This window comes from Homo sapiens, chromosome 7, assembly GCF_000001405.40.
Source record: "Homo sapiens chromosome 7, GRCh38.p14 Primary Assembly".
NCBI lineage: Eukaryota > Metazoa > Chordata > Mammalia > Primates > Hominidae > Homo > Homo sapiens.
Window position 1 is genome coordinate 58926302 of NC_000007.14, and position 22539 is coordinate 58948840.

General features: G+C 39.0%; 1 annotated feature.

Annotated features, from left to right (window-relative positions):
• Positions 1-22539: part of a centromere (Linear centromere model derived predominantly from reads generated in PMID: 17803354. This region does not represent an actual centromere sequence, as long-range ordering of repeats and unmapped WGS contigs is not provided by the model. For details of model production, see http://arxiv.org/abs/1307.0035.) that runs on past both edges of the window.

A 22539-nucleotide genomic window follows, 5' to 3' on the forward strand; every position in this document is an offset into this window, starting at 1 on the left:
GCATTGAGGCCTTCGTTGGAAACGGGATTTCTTCATTTCATGCTAGACAGAAGAATTCTCAGTAACTTCTTTGTGCTGTGTGTATTCAACTCACAGAGTGGAACGTCCCTTTACACAGAGCAGATTTGAAACACTCTTTTTGTGGAGTTTGCAAGTGGAGATTTCAAGCGATTTGATGCCAACAGTAGAAAAGGAAATATCTTCAAATAAAAACTAGACAGAATCATTCTCAGAAACTACTTTGTGATGTGTGCCTTCAACTCACAGAGTTTAACCTTTCTTTTCTTAGAGCAGTTTAGAAACACTCTGCTTGTTATGTCTGCAAGTGGATATTTGGACCTCTTTGAGGCCTTCGTTGCAAACGGGGTTTCTTCCTTTCATGCTAGACTAAGAAGAGTTCTCAGTAACTTTTTTGTGTTGTGTGTATTCAACTCACAGAGTTGAACCTTGCTTTAGAGAGAGCAGATTTGAAACACTCTTGCTGTGGCATTTTCAGGTGGAGATTTCAAGCGATTTGAGGATAATTGCAGAAAAGGAAATATCTTCGTATAATAACCAGACAGAATCATTCTCAGAAAGTGCTTTGTGATGTGTGCGTTCCACTCACAGAGTTTAACCTTTCTTTTCATAGAGGAGTTTGGAAACACACTGTGTGTAAACTCTGCAAGTGGATATATGGACCTGTTTGAGGCCTTCGTTGGAAACGGGATTTCTTCATTGAATGCTAGACGGAAGAATTCTCAGTAAATTCTTTGTGTTGTGTGCATTCAACTGACAGAGTGGAACGTCCCTTTAGACAGAGCAGATTTGAAACACTCTTTTTGCGGAATTTGCAAGTGGAGATTTCTAGCCATTTGATTCCAACAGTAGAAAGTGAAATATCTTCAAATAAAAACCAGACAGAATCATTCTCAGAAAATTCTTTGTGATGTGTGCGTTCAACTCACATAGTTTAACCTTTCTTTTCATAGAGCAGTTTGGAAACACTCTGTTTGTAAAGTCTGCAAGTGGATATATGGACCGCATTGAGGCCTTCGTTGGAAACGGGATTTCTTCATTTCATGCGAGACAGAAGAATTCTCAGTAACTTCTTTGTGCTGTGTGTATTCAACTCACAGAATGGAACGTCCCTTTACACAGAGCAGATTTGAAACACTCTTTTTGTGGAGTTTGCAAGTGGAGATTTCAAGCGATTTGATGCCAGCAGTAGAAAAGGAAATATCTTCAAATAAAAACTAGACAGAATCATTCTCAGAAACTACTTTGTGATGTGTGCCTTCAACTCACAGAGTTTAACCTTTCTTTTCTTAGAGCAGTTTAGAAACACTCTGCTTGTTATGTCTGCAAGTGGATATTTGGACCTCTTTGAGGCCTTCGTTGCAAACGGGGTTTCTTCCTTTCATGCTAGACTAAGAAGAGTTCTCAGTAACATTTTGTGTTGTGTGTATTCAACTCACAGAGTTGAACCTTGCTTTAGAGAGAGCAGATTTGAAACACTCTTGCTGTGGCATTTTCAGGTGGAGATTTCAAGCGATTTGAGGACAATTGCAGAAAAGGAAATATCTTCGTATAACAACCAGACAGAATCATTCTCAGAAAGTGCTTTGTGATGTGTGCGTTCAACTCACAGAGTTTAACCTTTCTTTTCATTGAGGAGTTTGGAAACACACTGTTTGTAAAGTCTGCAATTGGATATATGGACCTGTTTGAGGCCTTCGTTGGAAACGGGATTTCTTCATTGAATGCTAGACGGAAGAATTCTCAGTAAATTCTTTGTGTTGTGTGCATTCAACTGACAGAGTGGAACGTCCCTTTAGACAGAGCAGATTTGAAACACTCTTTTTGCGGAATTTGCAAGTGGAGATTTCTAGCCATTTGATGCCAACAGTAGAAAGGGAAATATCTTCAAATAAAAACCAGACAGAATCATTCTCAGAAAATTGTTTGTGATGTGTGCGTTCAACTCACATAGTTTAACCTTTCTTTTCATAGAGCAGTTTGGAAACACTCTGTTTGTAAAGTCTGCAAGTGGATATATGGACCGCATTGAGGCCTTCGTTGGAAACGGGATTTCTTCATTTCATGCTAGACAGAAGAATTCTCAGTAACTTCTTTGTGCTGTGTGTATTCAACTCACAGAGTGGAACGTCCCTTTGCACAGAGCAGATTTGAAACACTCTTTTTGTGGAGTTTGCAAGAGGAGATTTCAAGCGATTTGATGCCAACAGTAGAAAAGGAAGTATCTTCAAATAAAAACTAGACAGAATCATTCTCAGAAACTACTTTGTGATGTGTGCCTTCAACTCACAGAGTTTAACCTTTCTTTTCTTAGAGCAGTTTAGAAACACTCTGCTTGTTATGTCTGCAAGTGGATATTTGGACCTCTTTGAGGCCTTCGTTGCAAACGGGGTTTCTTCCTTTCATGCTAGACTAAGAAGAGTTCTCAGTAACTTTTTTGTGTTGTGTGTATTCAACTCACAGAGTTGAACCTTGCTTTAGAGAGAGCAGATTTGAAATACTCTTGCTGTGGCATTTTCAGGTGGAGATTTCAAGCGATTTGAGGACAATTGCAGAAAAGGAAATATCTTCGTATAATAACCAGACAGAATCATTCTCAGAAAGTGCTTTGTGATGTGTGCGTTCAACTCACAGAGTTTAACCTTTCTTTTCATAGAGGAGTTTGGAAACACACTGTTTGTAAAGTCTGCAATTGGATATATGGACCTGTTTGAGGCCTTCGTTGGAAACGGGATTTCTTCATTGAATGCTAGACGGAAGAATTCTCAGTAAATTCTTTGTGTTGTGTGCATTCAACTCACAGAGTGGAACGTCCCTTTAGACAGAGCAGATTTGAAACACTCTTTTTGCGGAATTTGCAAGTGGAGATTTCTAGCCATTTGATGCCAACAGTAGAAAGGGAAATATCTTCAAATAAAAACCAGACAGAATCATTCTCAGAAAATTCTTTGTGATGTGTGCGTTCAACTCACATAGTTTAACCTTTCTTTTCATAGAGCAGTTTGGAAACACTCTGTTTGTAAAGTCTGCAAGTGGATATATGGACCGCATTGAGGCCTTCGTTGGAAACGGGATTTCTTCATTTCATGCTAGACAGAAGAATTCTCAGTAACTTCTTTGTGCTGTGTGTATTCAACTCACAGAGTGGAACGTCCCTTTGCACAGAGCAGATTTGAAACACTCTTTTTGTGGAGTTTGCAAGTGGAGATTTCAAGCGATTTGATGCCAACAGTAGAAAAGGAAATATCTTCAAATAAAAACTAGACAGAATCATTCTCAGAAACTACTTTGTGATGTGTGCCTTCAACTCACAGAGTTTAACCTTTCTTTTCTTAGAGCAGTTTAGAAACACTCTGCTTGTTATGTCTGCAAGTGGATATTTGGACCTCTTTGAGGCCTTCGTTGCAAACGGGGTTTCTTCCTTTCATGCTAGACTAAGAAGAGTTCTCAGTAACTTTTTTGTGTTGTGTGTATTCAACTCACAGAGTTGAACCTTGCTTTAGAGAGAGCAGATTTGAAACACTCTTGCTGTGGCATTTTCAGGTGGAGATTTCAAGCGATTTGAGGACAATTGCAGAAAAGGAAATATCTTCGTATAATAACCAGACAGAATCATTCTCAGAAAGTGCTTTGTGATGTGTGCGTTCAACTCACAGAGTTTAACCTTTCTTTTCATAGAGGAGTTTGGAAACACAATGTTTGTAAAGTCTGCAAGTGGATATATGGACCTGTTTGAGGCCTTCGTTGGAAACGGGATTTCTTCATTGAATGCTAGACGGAAGAATTCTCAGTAAATTCTTTGTGTTGTGTGCATTCAACTCACAGAGTGGAACGTCCCTTTAGACAGAGCAGATTTGAAACACTCTTTTTGCGGAATTTGCAAGTGGAGATTTCTAGCTATTTGATGCCAACAGTAGAAAGGGAAATATCTTCAAATAAAAACCAGACAGAATCATTCTCAGAAAATTCTTTGTGATGTGTGCGTTCAACTCACATAGTTTAACCTTTCTTTTCATAGAGCAGTTTGGAAACACTCTGTTTGTAAAGTCTGCAAGTGGATATATGGACCGCATTGAGGCCTTCGTTGGAAACGGGATTTCTTCATTTCATGCTAGACAGAAGAATTCTCAGTGACTTCTTTGTGCTGTGTGTATTCAACTCACAGAGTGGAACGTCCCTTTGCACAGAGCAGATTTGAAACACTCTTTTTGTGGAGTTTGCAATTGGAGATTTCAAGCGATTTGATGCCAACAGTAGAAAAGGAAATATCTTCAAATAAAAACTAGACAGAATCATTCTCAGAAACTACTTTGTGATGTGTGCCTTCAACTCACAGAGTTTAACCTTTCTTTTCTTAGAGCAGTTTAGAAACACTCTGCTTGTTATGTCTGCAAGTGGATATTTGGACCTCTTTGAGGCCTTCGTTGCAAACGGGGTTTCTTCCTTTCATGCTAGACTAAGAAGAGTTCTCAGTAACTTTTTTGTGTTGTGTGTATTCAACTCACAGAGTTGAACCTTGCTTTAGAGAGAGCAGATTTGAAACACTCTTGCTGTGGAATTTTCAGGTGGAGATTTCAAGCGATTTGAGGACAATTGCAGAAAAGGAAATATCTTCGTATAATAACCAGACAGAATCATTCTCAGAAAGTGCTTTGTGATGTGTGCGTTCAACTCACAGAGTTTAACCTTTCTTTTCATAGAGGAGCTTGGAAACACACTGTTTGTAAAGTCTGCAAGTGGATATATGGACCTGTTTGAGGCTTCCGTTGGAAACGGGATTTCTTCATTGAATGCCAGACGGAAGAAATCTCAGTAAATTCTTTGTGTTGTGTGCATTCAACTCACAGAGTGGAACGTCCCTTTAGACAGAGCAGATTTGAAACACTCTTTTTGCGGAATTTGCAAGTGGAGATTTCTAGCCATTTGATGCCAACAGTAGAAAGGGAAATATCTTCAAATAAAAACCAGACAGAATCATTCTCAGAAAATTCTTTGTGATGTGTGCGTTCAACTCACATAGTTTAACCTTTCTTTTCATAGAGCAGTTTGGAAACACTCTGTTTGTAAAGTCTGCAAGTGGATATATGGACCGCATTGAGGCCTTCGTTGGAAACGGGATTTCTTCATTTCATGCTAGACAGAAGAATTCTCAGTAACTTCTTTGTGCTGTGTGTATTCAACTCACAGAGTGGAACGTCCCATTGCACAGAGCAGATTTGAAACACTCTTTTTGTGGAGTTTGCAAGTGGAGATTTCAAGCGATTTGATGCCAACAGTAGAAAAGGAAATATCTTCAAATAAAAACTAGACAGAATCATTCTCAGAAACTACTTTGTGATGTGTGCCTTCAACTCACAGAGTTTAATCTTTCTTTTCTTAGAGCAGTTTAGAAACACTCTGCTTGTTATGTCTGCAAGTGGATATTTGGACCTCTTTGAGGCCTTCGTTGCAAACGGGGTTTCTTCCTTTAATGCTAGACTAAGAAGAGTTCTCAGTAACTTTTTTGTGTTGTGTGTATTCAACTCACAGAGTTGAACCTTGCTTTAGAGAGAGCAGATTTGAAACACTCTCGCTGTGGAATTTTCAGGTGGAGATTTCAAGCGATTTGAGGACAATTGCAGAAAAGGAAATATCTTCGTATAATAACCAGACAGAATCATTCTCAGAAAGTGCTTTGTGATGTGTGCGTTCAACTCACAGAGTTTAACCTTTCTTTTCATAGAGGAGTTTGGAAACACACTGTTTGTAAAGTCTGCAATTGGATATATGGACCTGTTTGAGGCCTTCGTTGGAAACGGGATTTCTTCATTGAATTCTAGACGGAAGAATTCTCAGTAAATTCTTTGTGTTGTGTGCATTCAACTCACAGAGTGGAACGTCCCTTTAGACAGAGCAGATTTGAAACACTCTTTTTGCGGAATTTGCAAGTGGAGATTTCTAGCCATTTGATGCCAACAGTAGAAAGGGAAATATCTTCAAATAAAAACCAGACAGAATCATTCTCAGAAAATTCTTTGTGATGTGTGCGTTCAACTCACATAGTTTAACCTTTCTTTTCATAGAGCAGTTTGGAAACACTCTGTTTGTAAAGTCTGCAAGTGGATATATGGACCGCATTGAGGCCTTCGTTGGAAACGGGATTTCTTCATTTCATGCTAGACAGAAGAATTCTCAGTAACTTCTTTGTGCTGTGTGTATTCAACTCACAGAGTGGAACGTCCCTTTACACAGAGCAGATTTGAAACACTCTTTTTGTGGAGTTTGCAAGTGGAGATTTCAAGCGATTTGATGCCAACAGTAGAAAAGGAAATATCTTCAAATAAAAACTAGACAGAATCATTCTCAGAAACTACTTTGTGATGTGTGCTTTCAACTCACAGAGTTTAACCTTTCTTTTCATAGAGCAGTTTAGAAACACTCTGCTTGTTATGTCTGCAAGTGGATATTTGGACCTCTTTGAGGCCTTCGTTGCAAACGGGGTTTCTTCCTTTCATGCTAGACTAAGAAGAGTTCTCAGTAACTTTTTTGTGTTGTGTGTATTCAACTGACAGAGTTGAACCTTGCTTTAGAGAGAGCAGATTTGAAACACTCTTGCTGTGGCATTTTCAGGTGGAGATTTCAAGCGATTTGAGGACAATTGCAGAAAAGGAAATATCTTCGTATAATAACCAGACAGAATCATTCTCAGAAAGTGCTTTGTGATGTGTGCGTTCAACTCACAGAGTTTAACCTTTCTTTTCATAGAGGAGTTTGGAAACACACTGTTTGTAAAGTCTGCAAGTGGATATATGGACCTCTTTGAGGCCTTCGTTGGAAACGGGATTTCTTCATTGAATGCTAGACGGAAGAATTCTCAGGAAATTCTTTGTGTTGTGTGCATTCAACTCACAGAGTGGAACGTCCCTTTAGACAGAGCAGATTTGAAACACTCTTTTTGCGGAATTTGCAAGTGGAGATTTCTAGCCATTTGATGCCAACAGTAGAAAGGGAAATATCTTCAAATAAAAACCAGACAGAATCATTCTCAGAAAATTCTTTGTGATGTGTGCGTTCAACTCACATAGTTTAACCTTTCTTTTCATAGAGCAGTTTGGAAACACTCTGTTTGTAAAGTCTGCAAGTGGATATATGGACCGCATTGAGGCCTTCGTTGGAAACGGGATTTCTTCATTTCATGCTAGACAGAAGAATACTCAGTAACTTCTTTGTGCTGTGTGTATTCAACTCACAGAGTGGAACGTCCCTTTACACAGAGCAGATTTGAAACACTCTTTTTGTGGAGTTTGCAAGTGGAGATTTCAAGCGATTTGATGCCAACCGTAGAAAAGGAAATATCTTCAAATAAAAACTAGACAGAATCATTCTCAGAAACTACTTTGTGATGTGTGCCTTCAACTCACAGAGTTTAACCTTTCTTTTCTTAGAGCAGTTTAGAAACACTCTGCTTGTTATGTCTGCAAGTGGATATTTGGACCTCTTTGAGGCCTTCGTTGCAAACGGGGTTTCTTCCTTTCATGCTAGACTAAGAAGAGTTCTCAGTAACTTTTTTGTGTTGTGTGTATTCAACTCACAGAGTTGAACCTTGCTTTAGAGAGAGCAGATTTGAAACACTCTTGCTGTGGCATTTTCAGGTGGAGATTTCAAGCGATTTGAGGACAATTGCAGAAAAGGAAATATCTTCCGTATAATAACCAGACAGAATCATTCTCAGAAAGTGCTTTGTGATGTGTTCGGTTCAACTCACAGAGTTGAACCTTTCTTTTCATAGAGGAGTTTGGAAACACACTGTTTGTAAAGTCTGCAAGTGGATATATGGACCTGTTTGAGGCCTTCGTTGGAAACGGCATTTCTTCATTGAATGCTAGACGGAAGAATTCTCAGTAAATTCTTTGTGTTGTGTGCATTCAACTGACAGAGTGGAACGTCCCTTTAGACAGAGCAGATTTGAAACACTCTTTTTGCGGAATTTGCAAGTGGAGATTTCTAGCCATTTGATGCCAACAGTAGAAAGGGAAACATCTTCAAATAAAAACCAGACAGAATCATTCTCAGAAAATTCTTTGTGATGTGTGCGTTCAACTCACATAGTTTAACCTTTCTTTTCATAGAGCAGTTTGGAAACACTCTGTTTGTAAAGTCTGCAAGTGGATATATGGACCGCATTGAGGCCTTCGTTGGAAACGGGATTTCTTCATTTCATGCTAGACAGAAGAATTCTCAGTAACTTCTTTGTGCTGTGTGTATTCAACTCACAGAGTGGAACGTCCCTTTGCACAGAGCAGATTTGAAACACTCTTTTTGTGGAATTTGCAAGTGGAGATTTCAAGCGATTTGATGCCAACAGTAGAAAAGGAAATATCTTCAAATAAAAACTAGACAGAATCATTCTCAGAAACTACTTTGTGATGTGTGCCTTCAACTCACAGAGTTTAACCTTTCTTTTCTTAGAGCAGTTTAGAAACACTCTGCTTGTTATGTCTGCAAGTGGGTATTTGGACCTCTTTGAGGCCTTCGTTGCAAACGGGGTTTCTTCCTTTCATGCTAGACTAAGAAGAGTTCTCAGTAACTTTTTTGTGTTGTGTGTATTCAACTCACAGAGTTGAACCTTGCTTTAGAGAGAGCAGATTTGAAACACTCTTGCTGTGGCATTTTCAGGTGGAGATTTCAAGCGATTTGAGGACAATTGCAGAAAAGGAAATATCTTCGTATAATAACCAGACAAAATCATTCTCAGAAAGTGCTTTGTGATGTGTGCGTTCCACTCACAGAGTTTAACCTTTCTTTTCATAGAGGAGTTTGGAAACACACTGTTTGTAAAGTCTGCAAGTGGATATATGGACCTGTTTGAGGCCTTCGTTGGAAACGGGATTTCTTCATTGAATGCTAGACGGAAGAATTCTCAGTAAATTCTTTGTGTTGTGTGCATTCAACTCACAGAGTGGAACGTCCCTTTAGACAGAGCAGATTTGAAACACTCTTTTTGCGGAATTTGCAAGTGGAGATTTCTAGCCATTTGATGCCAACAGTAGAAAGGGAAATATCTTCAAATAAAAACCAGACAGAATCATTCTCAGAAAATTATTTGTGATGTGTGCGTTCAACTCACATAGTTTAACCTTTCTTTTCATAGAGCAGTTTGGAAACACTCTGTTTGTAAAGTCTGCAAGTGGATATATGGACCGCATTGAGGCCTTCGTTGGAAACGGGATTTCTTCATTTCATGCTAGACAGAAGAATACTCAGTAACTTCTTTGTGCTGTGTGTATTCAACTCACAGAGTGGAACGTCCCTTTACACAGAGCAGATTTGAAACACTCTTTTTGTGGAGTTTGCAAGTGGAGATTTCAAGCGATTTGATGCCAACCGTAGAAAAGGAAATATCTTCAAATAAAAACTAGACAGAATCATTCTCAGAAACTACTTTGTGATGTGTGCCTTCAACTCACAGAGTTTAACCTTTCTTTTCTTAGAGCAGTTTAGAAACACTCTGCTTGTTATGTCTGCAAGTGGATATTTGGACCTCTTTGAGGCCTTCGTTGCAAACGGGGTTTCTTCCTTTCATGCTAGACTAAGAAGAGTTCTCAGTAACTTTTTTGTGTTGTGTGTATTCAACTCACAGAGTTGAACCTTGCTTTAGAGAGAGCAGATTTGAAACACTCTTGCTGTGGCATTTTCAGGTGGAGATTTCAAGCGATTTGAGGACAATTGCAGAAAAGGAAATATCTTCGTATAATAACCAGACAGAATCATTCTCAGAAAGTGCTTTGTGATGTGTGCGTTCAACTCACAGAGTTTAACCTTTCTTTTCATAGAGGAGTTTGGAAACACACTGTTTGTAACGTCTGCAATTGGATATATGGACCTGTTTGAGGCCTTCGTTGGAAACGGGATTTCTTCATTGAATGCTAGACGGAAAGAATTCTCAGTAAATTCTTTGTGTTGTGTGCATTCAACTCACAGAGTGGAACGTCCCTTTAGACAGAGCAGATTTGAAACACTCTTTTTGCGGAATTTGCAAGTGGAGATTTCTAGCCATTTGATGCCAACAGTAGAAAGGGAAATATCTTCAAATAAAAACCAGACAGAATCATTCTCAGAAAATTCTTTGTGATGTGTGCGTTCAACTCACATAGTTTAACCTTTCTTTTCATAGAGCAGTTTGGAAACACTCTGTTTGTAAAGTCTGCAAGTGGATATATGGACCGCATTGAGGCCTTCGTTGGAAACGGGATTTCTTCATTTCATGCTAGACAGAAGAATTCTCAGTAACTTCTTTGTGCTGTGTGTATTCAACTCACAGAGTGGAACGTCCCTTTGCACAGAGCAGATTTGAAACACTCTTTTTGTGGAGTTTGCAAGTGGAGATTTCAAGCGATTTGATGCCAACAGTAGAAAAGGAAATATCTTCAAATAAAAACTAGACAGAATCATTCTCAGAAACTACTTTGTGATGTGTGCCTTCAACTCACAGAGTTTTACCTTTCTTTTCTTAGAGCAGTTTAGAAACACTCTGCTTGTTATGTCTGCAAGTGGATATTTGGACCTCTTTGAGGCCTTCGTTGCAAACGGGGTTTCTTCCTTTCATGCTAGACTAAGAAGAGTTCTCAGTAACTTTTTTGTGTTGTGTGTATTCAACTCACAGAGTTGAACCTTGCTTTAGAGAGAGCAGATTTGAAACACTCTTGCTGTGGCATTTTCAGGTGGAGATTTCAAGCGATTTGAGGACAATTGCAGAAAAGGAAATATCTTCGTATAATAACCAGACAGAATCATTCTCAGAAAGTGCTTTGTGATGTGTGCGTTCCACTCACAGAGTTTAACCTTTCTTTTCATAGAGGAGTTTGGAAACACACTGTTTGTAAAGTCTGCAAGTGGATATATGGACCTGTTTGAGGCCTTCGTTGGAAACGGGATTTCTTCATTGAATGCTAGACGGAAGAATTCTCAGTAAATTCTTTGTGTTGTGTGCATTCAACTCACAGAGTGGAACGTCCCTTTAGACAGAGCAGATTTGAAACACTCTTTTTGCGGAATTTGCAAGTGGAGATTTCTAGCCATTTGATGCCAACAGTAGAAAGGGAAATATCTTCAAATAAAAACCAGGCAGAATCATTCTCAGAAAATTCTTTGTGATGTGTGCGTTCAACTCACATAGTTTAACCTTTCTTTTCATAGAGCAGTTTGGAAACACTCTGTTTGTAAAGTCTGCAAGTGGATATATGGACCGCATTGAGGCCTTCGTTGGAAACGGGATTTCTTCATTTCATGCTAGACAGAAGAATTCTCAGTAACTTCTTTGTGCTGTGTGTATTCAACTCACAGAGTGGAACGTCCCTTTGCACAGAGCAGATTTAAAACACTCTTTTTGTGGAGTTTGCAAGTGGAGATTTCAAGCGATTTGATGCCAACAGTAGAAAAGGAAATATCTTCAAATAAAAACTAGACAGAATCATTCTCAGAAACTACTTTGTGATGTGTGCCTTCAACTCACAGAGTTTAACCTTTCTTTTCTTAGAGCAGTTTAGAAACACTCTGCTTGTTATGTCTGCAAGTGGATATTTGGACCTCTTTGAGGCCTTCGTTGCAAACGGCGTTTCTTCCTTTACTGCTAGACTAAGAAGAGTTCTCAGTAACTTTTTTGTGTTGTGTGTATTCAACTCACAGAGTTGAACCTTGCTTTAGAGAGAGCAGATTTGAAACACTCTTGCTGTGGCATTTTCAGGTGGAGATTTCAAGCGATTTGAGGACAATTGCAGAAAAGGAAATATCTTCGTATAATAACCAGACAGAATCATTCTCAGAAAGTGCTTTGTGATGTGTGCGTTCAACTCACAGAGTTTAACCTTTCTTTTCATAGAGGAGTTTGGAAACACACTGTTTGTAAAGTCTGCAAGTGGATATATGGACCTGTTTGAGGCCTTCGTTGGAAACGGGATTTCTTCATTGAATGCTAGACGGAAGAATTCTCAGTAAATTCTTTGTGTTGTGTGCATTCAACTCACAGAGTGGAACGTCCCTTTAGACAGAGCAGATTTGAAACACTTTTTGGCGGAATTTGCCAGTGGAGATTTCTAGCCATTTGATGCCAACAGTAGAAAGGGAAATATCTTCAAATAAAAACCAGACAGAATCATTCTCAGAAAATTCTTTGTGATGTGTGCGTTCAACTCACATAGTTTAACCTTTCTTTTCATAGAGCAGTTTGGAAACACTCTGTTTGTAAAGTCTGCAAGTGGATATATGGACCGCATTGAGGCCTTCGTTGGAAACGGGATTTCTTCATTTCATGCTAGACAGAAGAATTCTCAGTAACTTCTTTGTGCTGTGTGTATTCAACTCACAGAGTGGAACGTCCCTTTGCACAGAGCGGATTTGAAACACTCTTTTTGTGGAGATTGCAAGTGGAGATTTCAAGCGATTTGATGCCAACAGTAGAAAAGGAAGTATCTTCAAATAAAAACTAGACAGAATCATTCTCAGAAACTACTTTGTGATGTGTGCCTTCAACTCTCAGAGTTTAACCTTTCTTTTCTTAGAGCAGTTTAGAAACACTCTGCTTGTTATGTCTGCAAGTGGATTTTTGGACCTCTTTGAGGCCTTCGTTGCAAACGGGGTTTCTTCCTTTCATGCTAGACTAAGAAGAGTTCTCAGTAACTTTTTTGTGTTGTGTGTATTCAACTCACAGAGTTGAACCTTGCTTTAGAGAGAGCAGATTTGAAACACTCTTGCTGTGGCATTTTCAGGTGGAGATTTCAAGCGATTTGAGGACAATTGCAGAAAAGGAAATATCTTCGTATAATAACCAGACAGAATCATTCTCAGAAAGTGCTTTGTGATGTGTGCGTTCAACTCACAGAGTTTAACCTTTCTTTTCATAGAGGAGTTTGGAAACACACTGTTTGTAAAGTCTGCAAGTGGATATATGGACCTGTTTGAGGCCTTCGTTGGAAACGGGATTTCTTCATTGAATGCTAGACGGAAGAATTCTCAGTAAATTCTTTGTGTTGTGTGCATTCAACTCACAGAGTGGAACGTCCCTTTAGACAGAGCAGATTTGAAACACTCTTTTTGCGGAATTTGCAAGTGGAGATTTCTAGCCATTTGATGCCAACAGTAGAAAGGGAAATATCTTCAAATAAAAACCAGACAGAATCATTCTCAGAAAATTCTTTGTGATGTGTGCGTTCAACTCACATAGTTTAACCTTTCTTTTCATAGAGCAGTTTGGAAACACTCTGTTTGTAAAGTCTGCAAGTGGATATATGGACCGCATTGAGGCCTTCGTTGGAAACGGGATTTCTTCATTTCATGCTAGACAGAAGAATTCTCAGTAACTTCTTTGTGCTGTGTGTATTCAACTCACAGAGTGGAACGTCCCTTTGCACAGAGCAGATTTGAAACACTCTTTTTGTGGAGTTTGCAAGTGGAGATTTCAAGCGATTTGATGCCAACAGTAGAAAAGGAAATATCTTCAAATAAAAACTAGACAGAATCATTCTCAGAAACTACTTTGTGATGTGTGCCTTCAACTCACAGAGTTTAACCTTTCTTTTCTTAGAGCAGTTTAGAAACACTCTGCTTGTTATGTCTGCAAGTGGATATTTGGACCTCTTTGAGGCCTTCGTTGCAAACGGGGTTTCTTCCTTTAATGCTAGACTAAGAAGAGTTCTCAGTAACTTTTTTGTGTTGTGTGTATTCAACTCACAGAGTTGAACCTTGCTTTAGAGAGAGCAGATTAGAAACACTCTTGCTGTGGCATTTTCAGGTGGAGATTTCAAGCGATTTGAGGACAATTGCAGAAAAGGAAATATCTTCGGTATAACAACCAGACAGAATCATTCTCAGAAAGTGCTTTGTGATGTGTGCGTTCCACTCACAGAGTTTAACCTTTCTTTTCATAGAGGAGTTTGGAAACACACTGTTTGTAAAGTCTGCAATTGGATATATGGACCTGTTTGAGGCCTTCGTTGGAAACGGAATTTCTTCATTGAATGCTAGACGGAAGAATTCTCAGTAAATTCTTTGTGTTGTGTGCATTCAACTCACAGAGTGGAACGTCCCTTTAGACAGAGCAGATTTGAAACACTCTTTTTGCGGAATTTGCAAGTGGAGATTTCTAGCCATTTGATGCCAACAGTAGAAAGGGAAATATCTTCAAATAAAAACCAGACAGAATCATTCTCAGAAAATTCTTTGTGATGTGTGCGTTCAACTCACATAGTTTAACCTTTCTTTTCATAGAGCAGTTTGGAAACACTCTGTTTGTAAAGTCTGCAAGTGGATATATGGACCGCAATGAGGCCTTCGTTGGAAACGGGATTTCTTCATTTCATGCTAGACAGAAGAATTCTCAGCAACTTCTTTGTGCTGTGTGTATTCAACTCACAGAGTGGAACGTCCCTTTGCACAGAGCAGATTTGAAACACTCTTTTTGTGGAATTTGCAAGTGGAGATTTCAAGCGATTTGATGCCAACAGTAGAAAAGGAAATATCTTCAAATAAAAACTAGACAGAATCATTCTCAGAAACTACTTTGTGATGTGTGCCTTCAACTCACAGAGTTTAACCTTTCTTTTCTTAGAGCAGTTTAGAAACACTCTGCTTGTTATGTCTGCAAGTGGATATTTGGACCTCTTTGAGGCCTTCGTTGCAAACGGGGTTTCTTCCTTTCATGCTAGACTAAGAAGAGTTCTCAGTAACTTTTTTGTGTTGTGTGTATTCAACTCACAGAGTTGAACCTTGCTTTAGAGAGAGCAGATTTGAAACACTCTTGCTGTGGCATTTTCAGGTGGAGATTTCAAGCGATTTGAGGACAATTGCAGAAAAGGAAATATCTTCGTATAATAACCAGACAGAATCATTCTCAGAAAGTGCTTTGTGATGTGTGCGTTCAACTCACAGAGTTTAACCTTTCTTTTCATAGAGGAGTTTGGAAACACACTGTTTGTAAAGTCTGCAATTGGATATATGGACCTGTTTGAGGCCTTCGTTGGAAACGGGATTTCTTCATTGAATGCTAGACGGAAGAATTCTCAGTAAATTCTTTGTGTTGTGTGCATTCAACTGACAGAGTGGAACGTCCCTTTAGACAGAGCAGATTTGAAACACTCTTTTTGCGGAATTTGCAAGTGGAGATTTCTAGCCATTTGATGCCAACAGTAGAAAGGGAAATATCTTCAAATAAAAACCAGACAGAATCATTCTCAGAAAATTCTTTGTGATGTGTGCGTTCAACTCACATAGTTTAACCTTTCTTTTCATAGAGCAGTTTGGAAACACTCTGTTTGTAAAGTCTGCAAGTGGATATATGGACCGCATTGAGGCCTTCGTTGGAAACGGGATTTCTTCATTTCATGCTAGACAGAAGAATTCTCAGTAACTTCTTTGTGCTGTGTGTATTCAACTCACAGAGTGGAACGTCCTTTTACACAGAGCAGATTTGAAACACTCTTTTTGTGGAGTTTGCAAGTGGAGATTTCAAGCGATTTGATGCCAACAGTAGAAAAGGAAATATCTTCAAATAAAAACTAGACAGAATCATTCTCAGAAACTACTTTGTGATGTGTGCCTTCAACTCACAGAGTTTAACCTTTCTTTTCTTAGAGCAGTTTAGAAACACTCTGCTTGTTATGTCTGCAAGTGGATATTTGGACCTCTTTGAGGCCTTCGTTGCAAACGGGGTTTCTTCCTTTCATGCTAGACTAAGAAGAGTTCTCAGTAACTTTTCTGTGTTGTGTGTATTCAACTCACAGAGTTGAACCTTGCTTTAGAGAGAGCAGATTTGAAACACTCTTGCTGTGACATTTTCAGGTGGAGATTTCAAGCGATTTGAGGACAATTGCAGAAAAGGAAATATCTTCGTATAACAACCAGACAGAATCATTCTCAGAAAGTGCTTTGTGATGTGTACGTTCCACTCACAGAGTTTAACCTTTCTTTTCATAGAGGAGTTTGGAAACACACTGTTTGTAAAGTCTGCAATTGGATATATGGACCTGTTTGAGGCCTTCGTTGGAAACGGGATTTCTTCATTGAATGCTAGACGGAAGAATTCTCAGTAAATTCTTTGTGTTGTGTGCATTCAACTGACAGAGTGGAACGTCCCTTTAGACAGAGCAGATTTGAAACACTCTTTTTGCGGAATTTGCAAGTGGAGATTTCTAGCCATTTGATGCCAACAGTAGAAAGGGAAATATCTTCAAATAAAAACCAGACAGAATCATTCTCAGAAAATTCTTTGTGATGTGTGCGTTCAACTCACATAGTTTAACCTTTCTTTTCATAGAGCAGTTTGGAAACACTCTGTTTGTAAAGTCTGCAAGTGGATATATGGACCGCATTGAGGCCTTCGTTGGAAACGGGATTTCTTCATTTCATGCTAGACAGAAGAATTCTCAGTAACTTCTTTGTGCTGTGTGTATTCAACTCACAGAGTGGAACGTCCCTTTGCACAGAGCAGATTTGAAACACTCTTTTTGTGGAATTTGCAAGTGGAGATTTCAAGCGATTTGATGCCAACAGTAGAAAAGGAAATATCTTCAAATAAAAACTAGACAGAATCATTCTCAGAAACTACTTTGTGATGTGTGCCTTCAACTCACAGAGTTTAACCTTTCTTTTCTTAGAGCAGTTTAGAAACACTCTGCTTGTTATGTCTGCAAGTGGATATTTGGACCTCTTTGAGGCCTTCGTTGCAAACGGGGTTTCTTCCTTTCATGCTAGACTAAGAAGAGTTCTCAGTAACTTTTTTGTGTTGTGTGTATTCAACTCACAGAGTTGAACCTTGCTTTAGAGAGAGCAGATTTGAAACACTCTTGCTGTGGCATTTTCAGGTGGAGATTTCAAGCGATTTGAGGACAATTGCAGAAAAGGAAATATCTTCGTATAATAACCAGACAGAATCATTCTCAGAAAGTGCTTTGTGATGTGTGCGTTCCACTCACAGAGTTTAACCTTTCTTTTCATAGAGGAGTTTGGAAACACACTGTTTGTAAAGTCTGCAAGTGGATATATGGACCTGTTTGAGACCTTCGTTGGAAACGGGATTTCTTCATTGAATGCTAGACGGAAGAATTCTCAGTAAATTCTTTGTGTTGTGTGCATTCAACTCACAGAGTGGAACGTCCCTTTAGACAGAGCAGATTTGAAACACTCTTTTTGCGGAATTTGCAAGTGGAGATTTCTAGCCATTTGATGCCAGCAGTAGAAAGGGAAATATCTTCAAATAAAAACCAGACAGAATCATTCTCAGAAAATTCTTTGTGATGTGTGCGTTCAACTCACATAGTTTAACCTTTCTTTTCATAGAGCAGTTTGGAAACACTCTGTTTGTAAAGTCTGCAAGTGGATATATGGACCGCATTGAGGCCTTCGTTGGAAACGGGATTTCTTCATTTCATGCTAGACAGAAGAATTCTCAGTAACTTCTTTGTGCTGTGTGTATTCAACTCACAGAGTGGAACGTCCCTTTGCACAGAGCAGATTTGAAACACTCTTTTTGTGGAGTTTGCAAGTGGAGATTTCAAGCGATTTGATGCCAACAGTAGAAAAGGAAATATCTTCAAATAAAAACTAGACAGAATCATTCTCAGAAACTACTTTGTGATGTGTGCCTTCAACTCACAGAGTTTAACCTTTCTTTTCTTAGAGCAGTTTAGAAACACTCTGCTTGTTATGTCTGCAAGTGGATATTTGGACCTCTTTGAGGCCTTCGTTGCAAACGGGGTTTCTTCCTTTCATGCTAGACTAAGAAGAGTTCTCAGTAACTTTTTTGTGTTGTGTGTATTCAACTCACAGAGTTGAACCTTGCTTTAGAGAGAGCAGATTTGAAACACTCTTGCTGTGGCATTTTCAGGTGGAGATTTCAAGCGTTTTGAGGACAATTGCAGAAAAGGAAATATCTTCGTATAATAACCAGACAGAATCATTCTCAGAAAGTGCTTTGTGATGTGTGCGTTCCACTCACAGAGTTTAACCTTTCTTTTCATAGAGGAGTTTGGAAACACACTGTTTGTAAAGTCTGCAAGTGGATATATGGACCTGTTTGAGGCCTTCGTTGGAAACGGGATTTCTTCATTGAATGCTAGACGGAAGAATTCTCAGTAAATTCTTTGTGTTGTGTGCATTCAACTCACAGAGTGGAACGTCCCTTTAGACAGAGCAGATTTGAAACACTCTTTTTGCGGAATTTGCAAGTGGAGATTTCTAGCCATTTGATGCCAACAGTAGAAAGGGAAATATCTTCAAATAAAAACCAGACAGAATCATTCTCAGAAAATTCTTTGTGATGTGTGCGTTCAACTCACATAGTTTAACCTTTCTTTTCATAGAGCAGTTTGGAAACACTCTGTTTGTAAAGTCTGCATGTGGATATATGGACCGCATTGAGGCCTTCGTTGGAAACGGGATTTCTTCATTTCATGCTAGACAGAAGAATTCTCAGTAACTTCTTTGTGCTGTGTGTATTCAACTCACAGAGTGGAACGTCCCTTTACACAGAGCAGATTTGAAACACTCTTTTTGTGGAGTTTGCAAGTGGAGATTTCAAGCCGATTTGATGCCAACAGTAGAAAAGGAAATATCTTCAAATAAAAACTAGACAGAATCATTCTCAGAAACTACTTTGTGATGTGTGCCTTCAACTCACAGAGTTTAACCTTTCTTTTCTTAGAGCAGTTTAGAAACACTCTGCTTGTTATGTCTGCAAGTGGATATTTGGACCTCTTTGAGGCCTTCGTTGCAAACGGGGTTTCTTCCTTTAATGCTAGACTAAGAAGAGTTCTCAGTAACTTTTTTGTGTTGTGTGTATTCAACTCACAGAGTTGAACCTTGCTTTAGAGAGAGCAGATTTGAAACACTCTCGCTGTGGAATTTTCAGGTGGAGATTTCAAGCGATTTGAGGACAATTGCAGAAAAGGAAATATCTTCGTATAATAACCAGACAGAATCATTCTCAGAAAGTGCTTTGTGATGTGTGCGTTCAACTCACAGAGTTTAACCTTTCTTTTCATAGAGGAGTTTGGAAACACACTGTTTGTAAAGTCTGCAATTGGATATATGGACCTGTTTGAGGCCTTCGTTGGAAACGGGATTTCTTCATTGAATGCTAGACGGAAGAATTCTCAGTAAATTCTTTGCGTTGTGTGCATTCAACTGACAGAGTGGAACGTCCCTTTAGACAGAGCAGATTTGAAACACTCTTTTTGCGGAATTTGCAAGTGGAGATTTCTAGCCATTTGATGCCAACAGTAGAAAGGGAAATATCTTCAAATAAAAACCAGACAGAATCATTCTCAGAAAATTCTTTGTGATGTGTGCGTTCAACTCACATAGTTTAACCTTTCTTTTCATAGAGCAGTTTGGAAACACTCTGTTTGTAAAGTCTGCAAGTGGATATATAGACCGCATTGAGGCCTTCGTTGGAAACGGGATTTCTTCATTTCATGCTAGACAGAAGAATTCTCAGTAACTTCTTTGTGCTGTGTGTATTCAACTCACAGAGTGGAACGTCCCTTTACACAGAGCAGATTTGAAACACTCTTTTTGTGGAATTTGCAAGTGGAGATTTCAAGCGATTTGATGCCAACAGTAGAAAAGGAAATATCTTCAAATAAAAACTAGACAGAATCATTCTCAGAAACTACTTTGTGATGTGTGCCTTCAACTCACAGAGTTTAACCTTTCTTTTCTTAGAGCAGTTTAGAAACACTCTGCTTGTTATGTCTGCAAGTGGATATTTGGACCTCTTTGAGGCCTTCGTTGCAAACGGGGTTTCTTCCTTTCATGCTAGACTAAGAAGAGTTCTCAGTAACTTTTTTGTGTTGTGTGTATTCAACTCACAGAGTTGAACCTTGCTTTAGAGAGAGCAGATTTGAAACACTCTTGCTGTGGCATTTTCAGGTGGAGATTTCAAGCGATTTGAGGACAATTGCAGAAAAGGAAATATCTTCGTATAATAACCAGACAGAATCATTCTCAGAAAGTGCTTTGTGATGTGTGCGTTCAACTCACAGAGTTTAACCTTTCTTTTCATAGAGGAGTTTGGAAACACACTGTTTGTAAAGTCTGCAATTGGATATATGGACCTGTTTGAGGCCTTCGTTGGAAACGGGATTTCTTCATTGCATGCTAGACGGAAGAATTCTCAGTAAATTCTTTGTGTTGTGTGCATTCAACTCACAGAGTGGAACGTCCCTTTAGACAGAGCAGATTTGAAACACTCTTTTTGCGGAATTTGCAAGTGGAGATTTCTAGCCATTTGATGCCAACAGTAGAAAGGGAAATATCTTCAAATAAAAACCAGACAGAATCATTCTCAGAAAGTGCTTTGTGATGTGTGCGTTCCACTCACAGAGTTTAACCTTTCTTTTCATAGAGGAGTTTGGAAACACACTGTTTGTAAAGTCTGCAAGTGGATATATGGACCTGTTTGAGGCCTTCGTTGGAAACGGGATTTCTTCATTGAATGCTAGACGGAAGAATTCTCAGTAAATTCTTTGTGTTGTGTGCATTCAACTCACAGAGTGGAACGTCCCTTTAGACAGAGCAGATTTGAAACACTCTTTTTGCGGAATTTGCAAGTGGAGATTTCTAGCCATTTGATGCCAACAGTAGAAAGGGAAATATCTTCAAATAAAAACCAGACAGAATCATTCTCAGAAAATTCTTTGTGATGTGTGCGTTCAACTCACATAGTTTAACCTTTCTTTTCATAGAGCAGTTTGGAAACACTCTGTTTGTAAAGTCTGCAAGTGGATATATGGACCGCATTGAGGCCTTCGTTGGAAACGGGATTTCTTCATTTCATGCTAGACAGAAGAATTCTCAGTAACTTCTTTGTGCTGTGTGTATTCAACTCACAGAGTGGAACGTCCCTTTACACAGAGCAGATTTGAAACACTCTTTTTGTGGAGTTTCCAAGTGGAGATTTCAAGCGATTTGATGCCAACAGTAGAAAAGGAAATATCTTCAAATAAAAACTAGACAGAATCATTCTCAGAAACTACTTTGTGATGTGTGCCTTCAACTCACAGAGTTTAACCTTTCTTTTCTTAGAGCACTTTAGAAACACTCTGCTTGTTATGTCTGCAAGTGGATATTTGGACCTCTTTGAGGCCTTCGTTGCAAACGGGGTTTCTTCCTTTAATGCTAGACTAAGAAGAGTTCTCAGTAACTTTTTTGTGTTGTGTGTATTCAACTCACAGAGTTGAACCTTGCTTTAGAGAGAGCAGATTTGAAACACTCTTGCTGTGGCATTTTCAGGTGGAGATTTCAAGCGATTTGAGGACAATTGCAGAAAAGGAAATATCTTCGTATAATAACCAGACAGAATCATTCTCAGAAAGTGCTTTGTGATGTGTGCGTTCCACTCACAGAGTTTAACCTTTCTTTTCATAGAGGAGTTTGGAAACACACTGTTCGTAAAGTCTGCAAGTGGATATATGGACCTGTTTGAGGCCTTCGTTGGAAACGGGATTTCTTCATTGAATGCTAGACGGAAGAATTCTCAGTAAATTCTTTGTGTTGTGTGCATTCAACTCACAGAGTGGAACGTCCCTTTAGACAGAGCAGATTTGAAACACTCTTTTTGCGGAATTTGCAAGTGGAGATTTCTAGCCATTTGATGCCAACAGTAGAAAGGGAAATATCTTCAAATAAAAACCAGACAGAATCATTCTCAGAAAATTCTTTGTGATGTGTGCGTTCAACTCACATAGTTTAACCTTTCTTTTCATAGAGCAGTTTGGGAACACTCTGTTGGTAATGTCTGCAAGTGGATATATGGACCGCTTTGAGGCCTTCGTTGGAAACGGGATTTCTTCATTTCATGCTAGACAGAAGAATTCACAGTAACTTCTTTGTGCTGTGTGTATTCAACTCACAGAGTGGAACGTCCCTTTACACAGAGCAGATTTGAAACACTCTTTTTGTGGAGTTTGCAAGTGGAGATTTCAAGCGATTTGATGCCAACAGTAGAAAAGGAAATATCTGCAAACAAAAACTAGACAGAATCATTATCAGAAAGTGCTTTGTGATGTGTGCATTCAACTCACAGAGTTAACCTTTCTTTTCATAAAGGAGTTTGGAAACACACTGTTTGTAAAGTCTGCAATTGGATATATGGACCTGTTTGAGGCCTTCGTTGGAAACGGGATTTCTTCATTGAATGCTAGACGGAAGAATTCTCAGTAAATTCTTTGTGTTGTGTGCATTCAACTCACAGAGTGGAACGTCCCTTTAGACAGAGCAGATTTGGAACACTCTTTTTGCGGAATTTGCAAGTGGAGATTTCTAGCCATTTGATGCCAACAGTAGAAAGGGAAATATCTTCAAATAAAAACCAGACAGAATCATTCTCATAAAATTCTTTGTGATGTGTGCGTTCAAATCACATAGTTTAACCTTTCTTTTCATAGAGCAGTTTGGAAACACTCTGTTTGCAAAGTCTGCAAGTGGATATATGGACCGCATTGAGGCCTTCGTTGGAAACGGGATTTCTTCATTTCATGCTAGACAGAAGAA